This window comes from Homo sapiens, chromosome 15, assembly GCF_000001405.40.
Source record: "Homo sapiens chromosome 15, GRCh38.p14 Primary Assembly".
NCBI lineage: Eukaryota > Metazoa > Chordata > Mammalia > Primates > Hominidae > Homo > Homo sapiens.
In genome coordinates, this window is record NC_000015.10 from 76013533 (window position 1) to 76030307 (window position 16775).

A 16775-nucleotide genomic window follows, 5' to 3' on the forward strand; every position below is an offset into this window, starting at 1 on the left:
TCTCCTCCCTGTGTCCATGTATTCTCATTGTTCAATTTCCACCTATGAGAACATGCGGTGTTTGGTTTTCTGTTCTTGTGTTAGTTTGCTGAGAATGATGGTTTCCAGCTTCATCCATGGCCCTGCAAAGGACATGAGCTCATCCTTTCTTATGGCTGCATAGTATTCCACGGTATATATGTGCCACATTTTCTTTATCCAGTCTATCATTGAGGGGAATTTGGGTTGGTTCCAAGTCTTTGCTATTGTGAACAGTGCCGCAATAAACATATGTGTGCATGTGTCTTTATAGTAGCATGATTTATAATCCTTTGGGTATATACCCAGTAATTGGATTGCTGGGTCAAATGGTATTTCTAGTTCTAGATCCTTGGGGAATCACCACACTGTCTTCCACAATGGTTGAACTAATTTACACTCCCACCAATAGTGTAAAAGCATTCTTATTTCTTCACATCCTCTCCAGCACTGTTGTTTCCTGACTTTTTAATGATCGCCATTCTAACTGGCATGAGATGGTATCTCATTGTGCTTTTTGATTTGCATTTCTCTAATGACCAGTGATGATGAGCTTTTTTTCATACGTTTGTTGGCCACATAAATGTCTTATTTTGAAGACTGTCTGTTCATATCCTTCACTCACTTTTTGATGGGGTTGTTGGTTTTTTTCTTGTAAATTTGTTTAAGTTCCTTGTAGATTCTGGATATTAGCCCTTTCTCAGATGAATAGATTGCAAAAATTTTCTCCCATTCTGTAGGTTGCCTGTTTACTCTGACGAGAGTTTCTTTTGCTGTGCAGAAGCTCTTTGGTTTAATTAGATCCCATTTGTCAGTTTTGGCTTTTGTTGCCATTGCTTTTGGTGTTTTAGTCACGAAGTCTTTGCCCATATCTGTGTCCTGAATGGTATTGCCTAGGTTTCTTTCTAGGGTTTTTATGGCTTTACGTTTTAGGTGTATGTCTTTAATCCATCTTGAATTAATTTTTATATGAGGTGTAAGGAAGGGGTCCAGTTTCAGTTTTCTGCATATGGCTATCCAATTTTCCCAACACCATTTATTAAATAGGAAATCCTTTCCCCATTGCTTGTTTTTGTCAGGTTTGTCAAAGATCAGATGGTTGTAGATGGGTGGAGTTATTTCTGAGGCCTCTGTTCTGTTCCATTGGTCTATATGTCTGTTTTGATACCAGTACCATGCTGTTTTGGTTACTGTAGTCTTGTAGTATAGTTTGAAGTCAGGTAGCGTGATGCCTCCAGCTTTGTTCCTTTTGGTTAGGATTGTCTTGGCTACACAGGCTCTTTTTTGGTTCCACATAAAGTTTAAAGTAGATTTTTCTAATTCTGTGAAGAAAGTCAATGGTAGCCTGATGGGGATGGCATTGAATCTCTAAATTACTTTGGGCAGTATAGCCATTTTCAAGATATTGATTCTTCCTATCCATGAGCATGGAATGTTCTTCCATTTGTTTGTGTCCTCTCTTATTTCCCTGAGCAGTGGTTTGTAGTTCTCCTTGAAGAGGTCCTTCACATCCCTTGTGAGTTGTATTCCTAGGTATTTTATTCTCTTAGTAGCAGTTGTGAATGGGAGTTCACTCATGATTTGGCTCTCTTTGTCTGTTATTGGTGTATAGGAATGCTTGTGATTTTTGCATACTGATTTTGTATCCTGAGACTTTGCTGAAGTTGCTATCAGCTTAAGGAGTTTTGGGGCTGAGATGATGGGGTTTTCTAAATATACAATCATGTCATCTGCAAACAGAGACAATTTGACTTCCTCTCTTCCTATTTGAATAACCTTTATTTCTTTCTCTTGCCTGATTGGCCTGGCCAGAACCTCCAATACTATGTTGAATAGGAATGGTGAGAGAGGGCATCCTTGTGTTGTGCTGGTTTTCAAAGGGAATGCTTCCAGCTTTTGCCCATTCAGTATGATATTGGCTGTGGGTTTGTCATAAATAGCTCTTATGATTTTTGACATGCATTCCATCGATACCTAGTTTATTGTTTTTAGTTTTTAGCATAAAGGGGTATTGACTTTTATCAAAGGCCTTTTCTGCATCTATTGAGATACTCACGTGGTTTTTGTCATTGGTTCTGTTTATGTGATGGATTACGGGTATTGATTTCTGTATGTTGAATCATCCTTGCATTCCAGGGATGAAGCTGACTTGATCGTGGTGGATAAGCTTTTTGACATGCTGTTGGATTCAGTTTGCCAATATTTTATTGAATATTTTCACATCGATATTCATCAGGGATGTTGGCCTGAAGTTTTGTTTTCTTGTTGTATCTCTGCCAGGCTTTGGTATCAGGATGATGCTGGCCTCATAAAATGAGTTAGGGAGGAGTCCCTCTTTTTCTATTGTTTGGAATAGTTTCAAAAGGAATGGTACCAGGTCCTCTTGGTACCTCTGGTGGAATTTGGCTGTGAATCTGTCTTGTCCTGGACTTTTTTTGGTTGGTAGGCTATTAATTACTGCCTCAATTTCAGAACTTGTTATTGGTCTATTCAGGGATTCGACTTCTTCCTGGTTTAGTGTTGGGAGGGGGTATGTGTCCAGGAATTTATCCATTTCTTCTAGATTTTCTAGTTTATTTGCATAGAGGTGTTTATGGTATTCTCTGATGGTAGTTTATATTTCTGTGGGATCAGTGGTAATATCCCCTTTATCATTTTTTATTGTGTCTATTTGATTCTTTCTTTTCTTCTTTATTAGTCTAGCAGTCTATTTTATTGATCTTTTCAAAAAAACCAACTCCTGGATACCATTGATTTTTTGAAGTGTTTTTCGTGTCTCTATCTCCTTCAGACTGCTCTGATCTTAGTTATTTCTTGTCTTCTGCTAGATTTTGAATTTGTTTGCTCTTGCTCCTCTAGTTCTTTTAATTGTGATGTTAGGGTGTCAATTTTAGATCTTTCCTGCTTTCTCTTGAGGGCATTTAGTGCTATAAATTTCCCTCTAAACACTGCTTTAGCTGTGTCCCAGAGATTCTGGTACATTGTTTCTTTGTTCTTATTGGTTTCAAAGAACTTCTTTATTTCTGCCTTAATTTCGTTATTTACCCATCAGTCACTCAAGAGCAGGTTGTTCAGTTTCCATGTACTTGTGCAGTTTTGAGTGAGTTTCTTAATCCTGAGTTCTAATTTGATTGCACTGTGGTTGGAGAGACTGTTATGATTTCCATTATTTTGCATTTGCTGAGGAGTATTTTACTTCCAATTATGTGGTCAATTTTAGGATAATTGCAATGTGGTGCCGAGAAGAATATATATTCTGTTGATTTGGGTGGAGAGTTCTGCAGATGTCTATTAGGTCCACTTGGTCCAGAGCTGAGTTCAAGTCCTGAATATCCTTAATTTTCTTTCTTGTTGATCTAATATGAACAGTGGGGTGTTAAAGTTTCCCACTATTATTGTGTGGGAGTCTATGTCTCTTTGTAGGTCTCTAAGAACTTGCTTTATGGATCTGGGTGCTCCTGTATTGGGTGCATATATATTTAGGATAGTTATCTCTTCTTTCTGCATTGATCCCTTTACCATTATGTAATGCCCTTCTTTGTTTCTTTTGATCTTTGTTGGTTTAAAGTCTGTTTTTATCAGAGACTAGGATTGCAACCCCTGCCTTTTTTTTTTTTTTTTTTTTTTGCTTTCCATTTGCTTGGTAAATATTCCTCCAGCCCTTTATTTTGAGCGTGTGTTTCTTTGCATATAAGATGGGTCTCCTAAACACAGCACGCCAATGGGTCTTGAATCTTTATCCAGTTTGCCAGTCTGTGTCTTTTAATTGGGGCATTTAGCCTGTTTACATTGAAGATTAATATTGTTATGTGTGAATTTGATCCTATCATTATGATGCTAGCTAGTTGTTTTGCCCCTTAGTTGATGCAGTTTCTTCATAGTGTCGATGGTCTTTACAATTTGTTTTTGCAGTGGCTGTACCAGTTTTTCCTTTCCATGTTTAGTGCTTCCTTCAGGGGCTCTTGTAAAGCAGGCCTGGTGGTGACAAAATCTCTCAGCATTTGCTTGTCTGTAAAGGATTTTATTTCTCCTTCACTAATGAAGCTTAGTTTTGCTGGATATGAAATTCTGGGTTGAAAATTCTTTTAAGAATGTTGAATATTGGCCCCCACTCTCTTCTGGTGTGTAGTGTTTCTGCAGAGAGATCTGCTGCTAATCTGATGAGCTTTCCTTTGTTGGTAACCTGACTTTTCTGGCTGCTCTTAACATTTTTTCCTTCATTTCAACCTTGGTGAATCTGACAATTATGTGTCTTGGGGTTGCTCTTCTCGAGTAGTATCTTTGTGGTGTTCTCGGTATTTCCTGAATTTTAATGTTGGCCTGTCTTGCTAGGTTGGGGAAGTTCTACTGGATAATATCCTGAAGAGTGTTTTCCAACTTGGTTTCATTCTCCCTTTCACTTTTAGGTACACCAATCAAATGTAGGTTTGGTCTTTTCACATAGTCCCATATTTCTTGGAGGCTCGTTTGTTTCTTTTCAATCTTTTTTCTCTAATCTTGTCTTCACACTTTATTTCATTAAGTTGATCTTCAATCTCTGATATCCTTTCTTCCACTTGATCGATTTGGCTATTGATACTTGTGTATGCTTGTTGAAGTTCTCGTGCTATGTTTTTCAGCTCAATCAGGTCACTTATGTTCTTCTCTAAACTGCTTATTCCAGTTAGTAATTCCTCTAACCTTTTTTCATGGTTCTTAGCTTCCTTGCATTGAGTTAGAATATCCTCCTTTAGCTTGGAGGAGTTTGTTATTACCCACCTTCTGAAGCCTAATTCTGTCGATTTGTCAAACTCATTCTCCATCCAGTTTTGTTCCCTTGCTGGCGAGGAGTGTGATCCTTTGGAGTAGAAGAGGCGTTCTGGGTTTTGGAATTTTCAGCCTTTTTGTGCTGGTTTTTCCTCATCTTCGTGGATGTATCTACCTTTGGCCTTTGATGTTGTGACCTTCGGATGGGGTTTCTAAGTGGACATCCTTTTTGTTGATGTTGATGCGATTCCTTTCTGTTTGTTAATTTTCCATCTAACAGTCAAGCCTCTCTGCTGCAGGTCTGCTGGAGTTTGCTGGAGGTTCACTCCAGACCCTGTTTGTCTGGGTATCACCAGCGGAGGCTGCAGAACAGTAAAGATTGCTGCCTGTTTCTTCCTCTGGAAGCTTTGTCCCAGAGGGGCATCCGCCAGATGCCGGCTGGAGCTCTCCTGTATGAGGTGTCTGTTGACCCCTACTGGGAGGTGTCTCCCCGTCAGGAGACACAGGGGTTAGGGACTCACTTGAGGAGGCAGTCCTCCCTTAGCAGAGCTCGGATGCTGTGCTTAGAGATCCACTGCTCTCTTCAGAGCTGGCAGGCAGGGATGTTTAAGTGTGCCGAAGCTGTGCCCACAGCCACCCCTTCCCCCAGGTCCTCTGTTCCAGGGAGATGGGGGTTTTATCCATAACCCCCTGACTGGGGCTGCTGCCTTTTTTTTTTAGAGATTCCCCTGCCCAGAGAGAAGAAATCTAGAGAGGCAGTCTGTCTACAGTGGCTTTGCTGAGCTGCGGTGGGCTCCACCTAGTTCGAACTTCCAGGCGGCTTTGTTTACACTGTGAGGGGAAAAACACCTACTCAAGCCTCAGTAATGGCAAGCATCCCTCCCTCCACCAAGCTCAAGCATCCCAGGTCGACTTCAGACTGCTGTGCTGGCAGCGAGAATTTCAAGCCAGTGGATTTTAGCTTGCTGGGCTCCGTGGGGGTGGGATCTGCTGAGCTAGACAGCTTGGCTCCCTGGCTTCAGCCCCCTTTCCAGGGGGGTGAACGGTTCTGTCTCGCTGGTGTTCCAGGCACCATTGGGGTATGAAAAAAAGCTCCTGCAGCTAGCTCGGTGTCTGCCCAAACAGCCACCCAGTTTGGTGTCTGCCCAAACAGCTACTCAGTTTTGTGCTTGAAACTCAGGGCCCTGATGGCGTAGGCACGTGAGGGAATTTCCTCATCTGTGGGTTGTGAAGACCATGGGAATAGCATAGTATCTGGGCTGGAGTGCACCGTCCCTCATGGCTTCCCTTGGCTAGGGGGGTAGTTCCCCAATCCCTTGCACTTCCCCGGTGAGGCGACACCCCACCCTGCTTTGGCTTGCCCTCTGTGGGCTGCACCCACTGTCTAACCCATCCCAATGAGATAAGCCAGGTTCCTCAGCCAGAAATGCAGAAATCACCCGCCTTCTGTGTTGATCTCGCTGGGAGCTGCAGACCAGAGCTGTTCCTATTCGGCCATCTTGCCAGCCACCCATTATTACATATTATCTCCCACATTCAAAGGCAATTTTTACATAGCTATAACCATTATACAGACATATCTCATTTTATGCATTTTATTGCACTTTGCAGATATTGTTTTTACTAAAGGCTTGTGGCAACCCTGTGTCTGTTGGTGCCATTTTTCCAACAGCCTGTGCTCACTTCACGTTTCTGTGTCACATTTTGGTAATCCTTGCAATATTTCGAACTTTTTCATTATTATTCTATCGGTTATGGTGATCTGTGATCAGTGATCTTTGATGTTACTATTGTAATTGTTTTGGGGCACCATGAACCATGACTGTGTAAGATAGAGAACTTAATCGATAAATCTGCATATTCTGAATGCTCCATTGACCGACCGTTCCCCTATCTCCTCTGGCCTCTCTATTCCCTGAGACACAACAATATTGAAATTAGCCCAATTGATAACCCTACAATGGCCCCTAAGTGTTCAAGTAAAAGGGAGAGCTGCATCTTTCTCACTTTAAAGCAAAAGCTAAAATGATTAAGTTTAGTGAGGAAGGCATGCAGAAAGGTAAGATAGGCCTCTTGCACTGTTAAAGGAAATTAAAAGTGCTATTCAGTGAACACACAAATGATAAAATGAAACAGCCTTATTGCTTTTATGGAGAAAGTTTTAGTGATCTGGATAGAAGGTCAAACCAGCCACCACTTCCTCTAAGCCAGGGATGTCCAATCTTTTGACTTCCCTGGGCCACAGTGGAAAAATAATTGTCTTGGGCCACACATAAAATACACTAACACTAACAATAGCTGATGAGAAAAAAAAATCACAAAAAAATCTTATAATGTTTTAAGAAGTTTATGAATTTGTGTTGTGTGGCATTCAAAGCCATTCTGGGCTGCATGCGGCCCACGCGCCAGGGTTGGACAAGCTTGCTGTAAGCCAAAGCCTAATCCAGAGCAAGGCCCTAATTCTTATAAATTCTATGAAGGCCGAGAGAGGTAAAGAAGCAGCAGAAGAAAAGTTTGAAGCTAGCAGAGGTTGGTTCATGAGGTTTAAGGAAAGAAACCATCTCCATAACATAAAAGTGCAAGGTAAAGCAACAAGCGCTAATGTAGAAGCTGCAGCAAATTATCCAGAAAATCTATCTAAGATCATTGAAGATGGTTACACTAAACAGATTTTCACTGTAGAACAACCTTCTAGTAGAAGATACCATCTTGAACTTTTATAGCTAAAGAGAAGTCAATGTCTGGCTTCTAAGCTTCGAAGGACAGGTTGACTTCTTGTTATAGGCTAATATAGCTTGTGACTTTAAGCTGAAGCCAACACTCATCCATCATTCTGAAAATCCTAGGGCCCTTAAGAATTATGCTAAATCTACTCTGCCTGTGCTGTATAAACAGAACAACAAAGCCTTGATGACAGCACATCTGTTTACAGCATGGTTGACTAAATATCTTAAGTCCACTGTTGAGGCAAGACCCTCCCCCAGCAAAAACATTACAACTCACTGAGGGCTCAGATGTTTGTCAGCATTTTTTAACAATAAAGTATTTTTAAATTAAGGGATATACATTATTTTTTAGACATAATGCTACTGCATACCTAATAGGCTATAGTATAAACATACCTTTTATATGCATTGGGAAACCAAAAAATTTGTGTGACTCACTTTATTGTGATATTTGCTTTATTGCAGCAGTCTGAAACCAAAACCTGCAATATCTCAGAGGTGTGCTTGTACACATACACACACACTAAACCATTTTAGTGTATGGTGTTTGAATTTCAAAATGTTTTCATGAAACAAAATCAGTATCTTTTATTATTTTATTTGAACCTTGAAGCCATGATGCTGTCTACTATTATGAAAATGACTACTAAACTGTATATGGGAGATAATCTGTGACTTCATGACATTTGAGATGTATTTATTAAGAGACATATTGTGATGATTTTGTGTTATTTTTTGCACCATGCAAATAAGCAACCTTTAGGACCATGTGATTCCAAAGTAGAAAACCTATAGATTTTCAAGCTAACTTTTCACTAAGTCAGTGGTCCCCAGTCTTTTTGGCACCAGGGACCGGTTTCATGGAAGACAATTTTTCCATGGACTGGGGTGGCGGATGGTTTCAGGTTGAAATTATTCTACCTCAGGTCATCTGGCATTAGATTCCCATAAAGAGCACGCAATCTGGATCCCTCACATGTGCAGTTCACAATAGGGTCCATGCTCTATGAGAATCTAATGCGACCGCTGATTTGATAGGAGGCGGAGCACAGGCCATGAGGCTTGCTTGCCTGCTGCTCACCTGCTGTGTGGCCTGGTTCCTAATAGGCCACAGTCTGGTACTGGTCTGTGGCCCGGGTGTGGGGACCCCTGCTCTAAATGAAAGCCTTGATCTTTAAGAACTATTTTTCCATCCACGTATCAATAAACGTGTACTAAGTGGCCTGCCATCCTTTTAAAAAAAAGAGGACAGTCTCTTGCTGGATGAGGAATGCCAGACACAAAAACAAGCACAAAAATGTTTTAGGCTGATTCATATAAAGCATATTTTGACTTATACAAATGACAGTTTCATGTGATTAAACCTAATATTTTCACAGACACATATGTATGTCAATATTTTTACACACACACACACACACACACACACACACAATGCTTAACTGTTATGGAGAATCAGAAAAAGATTCCAAGAGGTAGAATGAATAAGAGTTTGTAAACAGAGATGAATGAGCATTTCAGACAGAGGTAACAGCATGTCTAAAGGTATAAAAGAAGGAAGATCTAATGTATTCAAATAATTGCAGGTGGATCACAAGCCAGGAAATGTGCAGTGGTGAGTGTGGAGTGTGTATGTTTGTAGGAGGGCGGGATGGTGGGGAAAAGAATGGCAAGAATAGATAGTATAAAACATGCTGGATCCAGATTGTAGACTTTATCTTAAAGGCAATGGGAAGCTTTGAAAGCTTTTTAGCAAGGGAGTGACATGATTACATCAACATTTTAGAAAATTCATTCTGATGGCAGTGTGGGAAACAAATTGGAATCTGCTGAGGAAATGGTATCAGAGAAAGCAGTTTGGAGGCTGTTTTAATAATAGTGAAGAAATAAAGCACAGGAATTAGGACAAAGAGAAAGATAATTAAAGACATACTTAGGAGGTACACCCACAGTATAGCTGAGCAGGGTAAGAAAAAAATCAAGAACAACTTTCAAATGTTGCTAAAATTAAATAACTAAAGGAATAGCTATTAGGGAAATGCATATTAAAACCACAATGAGGTGATGTCAGCAAGATAGCTCACTAGAGACACCTGGCACCCATACTCCACACACACACACACACACACACACACACACACACACACACACACACACACACAAGCAAGGACCAAGGCAATGAATAAAGAGCTAAGATTTCACTGGAGTGTTGCCCAGAGAGTGCTGGAGTGCAGTAGGGGAGTGGGGAGGTACCTATAGTGATTGGAAGCCCAGAAGGTACCTACAGTGATTGGAAGCAACGGAGAGTCATCTAGCCTCTGTGGCACTGTCTGCCATGCCTGGATCAGATTGATTTGGAGACAGGAGAGACTTTCCCTTTCAGGAAAATGGTAAGCAGAAGAATCTCATCAGCTCCTATTGCCACTGCAAATGCCCACAGTCCTTACTACAGGTGAATCCCACAGTCATCCCCAGCCCCAAGTCCAGTTTGGAGAGCTGCTGGGAATTTATGCAACTACACTGCTCTGGATTATGAACACAAGGTGTGCACTCCCCAACCCCCACCTATCCTGTGAGCCACACTGCTGCAGCACAGTGCCATCTTGAAATTAGAGCCACCTCTGGAATGCATCCTACTCTGGGACCAGTAGCCATTGCTCCCCTCCAGCACTGGGGTTTCATCTTCATTCCACCCAGCCCACAGATGGCTGATGCCATAACCCCAGCTGTGCAGAGCCTGGGTCCAGGATGGGTTGCAAATCTGGTCCTACACAGCAGGGAAACCAATTCCCACTGCCTGCACTTCCAGTGGAGGAATAGTCTAGCAGTCCTACCCAGGGTGAACCCGCTGCTGAGCCAGCTAAACTGCTGCACACTCTCCCCTAAGCTAAGCATGAAAGGACTCGGGGCTACCAAGTAGCTGACAAGCAACTCTTTGGGCTGTCCCCCAAACAGGTAGAGCAGCTACAAGCCTAGGACCTGAGAGATAGCCCTGCAGCACCCACCTCTCCTGCTGAGACACCTCTGGCTTGCCCAAAGGCCCCATGCCTGCAATCAGAGCCTGAGAAACAGATTCATGGGCTACTCCTAGCTCACCTGCCCCTAGGCCTCCAAGCTGCCAACATGTAAGTCTTGGGCCTAAGAAACAGCCCTGCAGGCTGCCCCTGGCTAGCATGCCCCCAGGCTGACTGAGTAGCTGTATGTCCACTTCCTAGGCCTGAGAAATAGCCCTGGGGGCTGCACCTGGCAGACACACTCCCAGACTGAGTGGCTGTGTACCCAAGTCCTGGCCACATCTACCAGACATGCACCCAGGCCACCCAAGAAGCCACCCACGTCCTAGGCCAGAGAAACAACTCCAGGAGCAAACTTGAACAGACACACACCCAGGACAGCTTAGAAGCCATGCATCTGCATCCCAGGCCTGAGAAACAGCCACCCGGGATACCCCTGACAGACATGCCCTCAGGCCAGCTGAACAGCTGTGCACCCATGCCTTAGGTCTAAGAAATAGCCTTGTAAGCCACCCCTGGCAGGCATAACCTCAGACTGGCTGAGCAACCAGGTGCCTGTGCCACCAGCCAGAGTAACAACTCCAAGGCCCCAACCCCAGCAAGACTTCAAGTTGGCTGACTCACTGTGCATACTCGCACCTTGATCTGAGAAAAAGCTTCGCTCTCAGCAAAGCCACACCACCACTGCCAAACTCTCTCATCTTAGATTCCTGAGACACTCATAAATGTTAGTAGTGCAGATTACAGCTGAAGAAACTACATGGAGACTATACTACATGATAATCTAGACCCAAAACCAAGGCACCCCACCAAACTGACACCCCAAGACCCATCTATATGTATAAGTCTTTCCATATGAAGCCTACTTCAGAAAATTGGAGGGGGCAATTGTTCCACCAAATGCATAGAAATTAATGTAAGCAAAAACAAACAAAAAACAACAAACAACAACAACAAAAACATAGGCAGAAAAAGCAGGCAAACAGGACACCTTCAGAAGAACACAGTAATTCTCCAGTAAGATTCCAATCATAAGGAACTATATGAAATACCAGAAAAAGAATTCAAAATAGTACGCTTAAGGAAACTCAGTGAGATATAAGAGAATATAGATAGACAGGGGCTGGGCGTGGTGGCTCACACCTGTAATCCCAGCACTTTGGGAGGCTGAGGCAGGTGGATCGCGAGGTCAGGAGATCGAGACCATCCTGGCTAACACGGTGAAACCCCGTCTCTATTAAAAATACAAAAAATTAGCTGGGCGTGGTGGCGGGCGCTTGTAGTCCCAGCTACTTGGGAGGCAGAGGCAGGAGAATGGTGTGAACCCGGCAGGCGGAGCTTGCAATGAGCTGAGATCACACCACTGCATTCCAGCCTGGGTGACAGAGCGAGACTCTGTCTCAAAAAAAAGAGAATATAGATAGACAACACAATGAAATTTTAAAAATTGACTATTTAGATAAGAAATTCAATAAAGAAATAGATATCATAAAAAAGAATCAAACAGAAATCCTGAAGCTGAAGGATTCAATTAATGAAATAAAAAATACAATTGAGGCTGGGCACAATGGCTGACTCCTATAATCCCAGCACTTTTGGGAGGCCAAGACTGGTAGATCACTTGAGGTCAAAAGTTCAAGACCAGCCTGGCCAATGTGGTGAACCCCTGTCTCTACTAAAAAATACAAAAATTAGCTTGGCATACTGGTGGGTGCCTGTAATCCCAGCTACTTGGAAGGCTGAGGCAGGAAAACTGCTTGAACCCAGGAGGTGGAGGTTGCAGTAAGCCAAAATCGCATCACTGCACTCCAGCCTGAGTGACAGAGTGAGACTTTGTCTCAAAAATTAAAAAAAAAAATGCAAGTGAGAGCATCAGTAAACAGACTAGATCAGCCAGAAGAAGGAATTTCTGAATGTGAAGACAGGTCTTTTGAAGTAACACAGGCAGCCCCCGACTACACACCCAAAAAAAGGCCTCCAAGATATATGAGACATCATTAAGTGAAAAAATATTTGCATTATGGGCATTCCAGAAGAAGAAAAGAAGGGGAAAAAAGCTAGTATTTCATTAAATATGCAGAAAAAATATTTAATGAAATAACAGCTGAAGACTTTACAAGTTTTGGGAGAGAGACAGATATCCAATTCCAGAAAGTTCAAATAATCCCACACAGATTCAACCTAAACAAGTCCTCTTCAATGCACATTACAGTCAAATTATCAAAAGTCAAAGACAAAGAATTCTAAAACTGCAAGAGAAAAGAATTAAGTCACATATGAGGGAATTCCCATTAGTTTGAGTGGATTTCTCAGCAGAAACCTTACAGGCCAGGAGAAAATAGGATATAATCAAAGTACTGAAAGAAAAAAACTATCAGCAAAGAGTATTATACCCAGCAAAGATATCCTTCAGGAATAAAGGAGAAATAAAATCTTTGCTTTCAGCCAAGCAAGAACTAAGGGAATTCATCACCACTAGACTGGCTATATAAGAAATGCTCAAGGGAATCTTACATATGGAAGGGAAAAGACAATTACTACACTCATAAAAACATGAAACTATTCAACTCACTGGTAGAACTGATATACAAAGGAGAAAGAGAAAGGATTCAAACCATTTCATTACAGAAAACCAACCAATTGCAAAAATAAATAAAAGAGAAACAAAGGATACACAAAACTACCAGAAAACAAACATAAAAACAGAAGGAGGTCCTCATCAATAATAACCTTGCATGCCAATGGATTAAATACTCCATTTAAAAGATATAGATTGGCCGAAAGGATAAAAAATAAAAACAAGAGGCCAGGTGTGGTGGCTCACGCCTGTAATCCCAGCACTTTGTGAGGCCAAGGTGGGTGGATCATGAGGTCAGGAGATTGAGACCATCCTGGCTAACATGGTGAAACCCCATCTCTACTAAAAACACAAAAAAATAGTGGGGCATGGTGGCGGGTGCCTGTAGTCCTAGCTACTCAGGAGCTGAGGCAGGAGAATGGTATGAGCCCGGGAGGCAGAGCTTGCAGTGAGCTGAGATTGTGCCACTGTACTCCAGCCTGAGGGACAGAGCGGGACTCCATCTCAAAAATAAAATAAAATAAAATAAAATAAAAACAAGAACCAACTATATACTGCCTATAAGAAACTCCCTTTATCCATAAAGACTCACATAGACTGAAAGTGAAGGGATGGAAAAAGACATTCCATAAACAAAAACCAAAAACAAGCAGGAATATCTATATTAGACAAAACAGATTTCAAGTCAAAAGCTGTACAAAGAGAAAAAGAAAGACATTATATAATCATCAATGGATCCATTCAGCAAGAGAATATAACAGTCGTAAATATATATATGCACCCAGCACCAAAGCACCTAGATATATAAAGCAAGCTGTACAAAGAGAAAAAGGAAACATATAATCCTCAATGGATCCATTCAGCAAGAGAATATAACAGTCAAATATATATATATATATATATGCACCAAGCACCAGAGCACCCAGATATATAAAGCAAATATTATTAGATTTAAGGGAGAGACAGACTTCAATACAATAATAGTTGGGGACATCAACACCCACTCTCAGCATTAAACAGGTCATCTAGCCAGAAAATCAACAAAGACACACTGGATTTAAACTGCACCATAGGCTAAACGGACATAATTTTCAGAACGTTTCACCCAACAACTGATTTTTTTCATCAGCACATGGAACATTCTCCAAAACTGACAACATATTAGGACACAAAACAAGTCTCAAATTTTTAAAAAAATTGAAATATCAAGTAACTTATTTTACCACAATGGATAAAACTTCAAATCAATAAGAGAAACATTCAAAACTATACAAATACATGGAAATTAAACACCACCCTGCTGAACGACCAGTGGATTAAAAAAGAAAATAAGGAAATCAGAAAGTCCCATGAGACAAATGTAAATAGAAACACAACATACTAAAACCTATGGGACACAGCAAAAGCAGTATTAAGGGGCAAGTTTATAGTAATAAATGTCTACACAAAAAACTAGAAAGATTTCAAATAAACAATTTAATGATGCATCTCAAGGAACTAAAAAAATAAGAAAAAAATCAAACTCAAAATTAGTAGAAGAAATAAAGATCAGAGCAGAAATAAATAAAATTGAGAGAAAAAATACAAAAGACCAATGAAATGAAAATTGGTTATTTGAAAAGATAAACAAAATTGACAAATCAGTAGCTAAACTAAGAAAAAAGAAAACCCAAATTAAAAAAAATCAGAAATGAAAAATGAGACATCAAAACAGATACCACAGAAATACAAAGGATCATGAACAACTACATGCCAATAAATTTGAAAACCTAGAGGAAATAGATGAGGTCTTGGATATATACAACCTACCAAGATGGAACCAAGAAGAAATGGAAAACCTAAACAGACCAATAACAAGTAATAAAAGTAAAGCAGTAATAAAACAGTCTCCTGACAGAAAAATCTAGAACCAGATGACTTCACCATTGAACTGTAATGAACCTTTAAAGAAGAATTAAAAGTAATTCTTCTCAAACTGTTTAAAAAAAAAAAAAAGTGATTCCAGCTGGGTGTGGTGGCTCACGCCTGTAATCCCAGCACTTTGGGAGGTTGAGGTGGGTGGATCACTTAAGGCCAGGAGTTTGAGACCAGCCTGGCCAATGTAGTGAATTCCCCTCTCTATTAAAAATACACACATTAGCCAGGCACGATGGCCTGCACCTGTAATCCCAGCTACTTGGGAGGCTGAGGCAGGAGAATTGCCTGAACCCGGGAGGGGAAGGTAGGTTGCAGTGAACTGAGATGTGCCACTGCACTCCAGCCTGGGTGGCAGAGTGAGACTCCTCCTCCAAAAAAAAAAAAAAAAAAAAAAAACTGTGATAGCACATCATAACTGTGATATCCCACATAACTGTGATAGCAAAACCAGACAAGAACACAACAGAAAGAGAAACTACAGGATAAATCCTCCAATGAACATAGATGTAAAATTCCTCAACAAAATACTAGCAAGCCAAATCCAAAATACATAAAAAAGATAATACACCTGATCAAGTGGGATTTATGTCAGGAATGCAAGTATGGTTCAACATATGCAAATCAATCAATATGATACATTATAATCAACAGAATGAAGGAGAAAAACCATACGATCATGTCAACAGGTGCAGAAAAGAGCATTTGATAAAATTCAACATCCCTTCATAATTAAAAACTCTCATGAAATTAGGTATAGAAGGAAAATACCTTAACAAAATAAAGGCCATATATAATAAACCCACAGCTAACATCATACCAGATGGACTGGAAGAAGACAAAGATGCCCACTCTCACCACTGTTATTCAACATAGTACTGGAAGTGCTATCTATGTACAGCAATTAGACAAGAGAAAGAAATAAAGGGCATCCAAATTAGAAAGGAGGAAATCAAACTGTTCCTGTTTGCAGATGACATGATCTTCTATATAGGAAAACCTAAAGACTCTACCAAAAAACTCTTAAAACTAATAAATGAATTCAGTAAAGTTGCAGAATACAAACATCGACATATAAACATCAGCAGTATTTCTGTACATGGATGATTAACTAAACTGAAAAAGGAATCAAGACAATTCCATTTACAATAACTACAAAAACATAAAATACCTAGGAATAAATTTAACCAAAGAAGTAAAGGATCCCTACAATGAAAACTATAAAATGCTGATGAAATAAATTGAAGAGGACACAAACAAATGGGAAGATATGCTCATGGATCAGAAGGTTTAACATTGTTTAAAATAATCATACTACCCAAGGAAACCTACAGATTCAATGCAATCCCTATCAAAATACCAATTACATTCTTCACATAAATAGCAAAAGAAATCCTAAAAGACTCAAAACAGATAAAGCAATCCTGAGCAAAAAGAACAAAGCTGCAGGCCAGGCATGGTGGCTCATGTCTGTAATCCCAGCACTTTGGGAGGCCAAGGCGGGTGGATCACAAGGTCAGGAGATCAAGACCATCCTGGCTAACACGGTGAAACCCCGCTTCTACTAAAAATACAAAAAATTAGCCAGGTGTGGTGGCATACACCTTGTAGTCCCAGCTACTCAGGAGGCTGAGGCAGGAGAATTGCTTGAACCCAGGAGGCGGAGGTTGCAATGAGCCAAGATCACACCACTGCACTCCAGCCTAGGCAACAGAGTGAGACTCTGTCTCAAAAACAACAACAACAAACAAACAAACAAACAAACAAAAACAAAGCTGC

General features: G+C 40.8%; 1 protein-coding gene across 8 annotated transcripts in view, besides 1 other annotated feature; it reads right to left on the reverse strand.

The window, feature by feature from the left end:
- Positions 1 to 16775, reverse strand: part of NRG4 (neuregulin 4) — a 124848-nt gene that overhangs the window by 78140 nt on the left and 29933 nt on the right. The window lies entirely within an intron of this gene.
- Positions 5400 to 5901: an enhancer, noted in NCBI's record as "H3K4me1 hESC enhancer chr15:76311273-76311774 (GRCh37/hg19 assembly coordinates)". NCBI's record gives its function as "activates a minimal SCP1, AML or CMV promoter by ChIP-STARR-seq in primed H9 embryonic stem cells {active_cell/tissue: H9 hESC(primed)}" and the evidence as "EXISTENCE:reporter gene assay evidence [ECO:0000049][PMID:30033119]".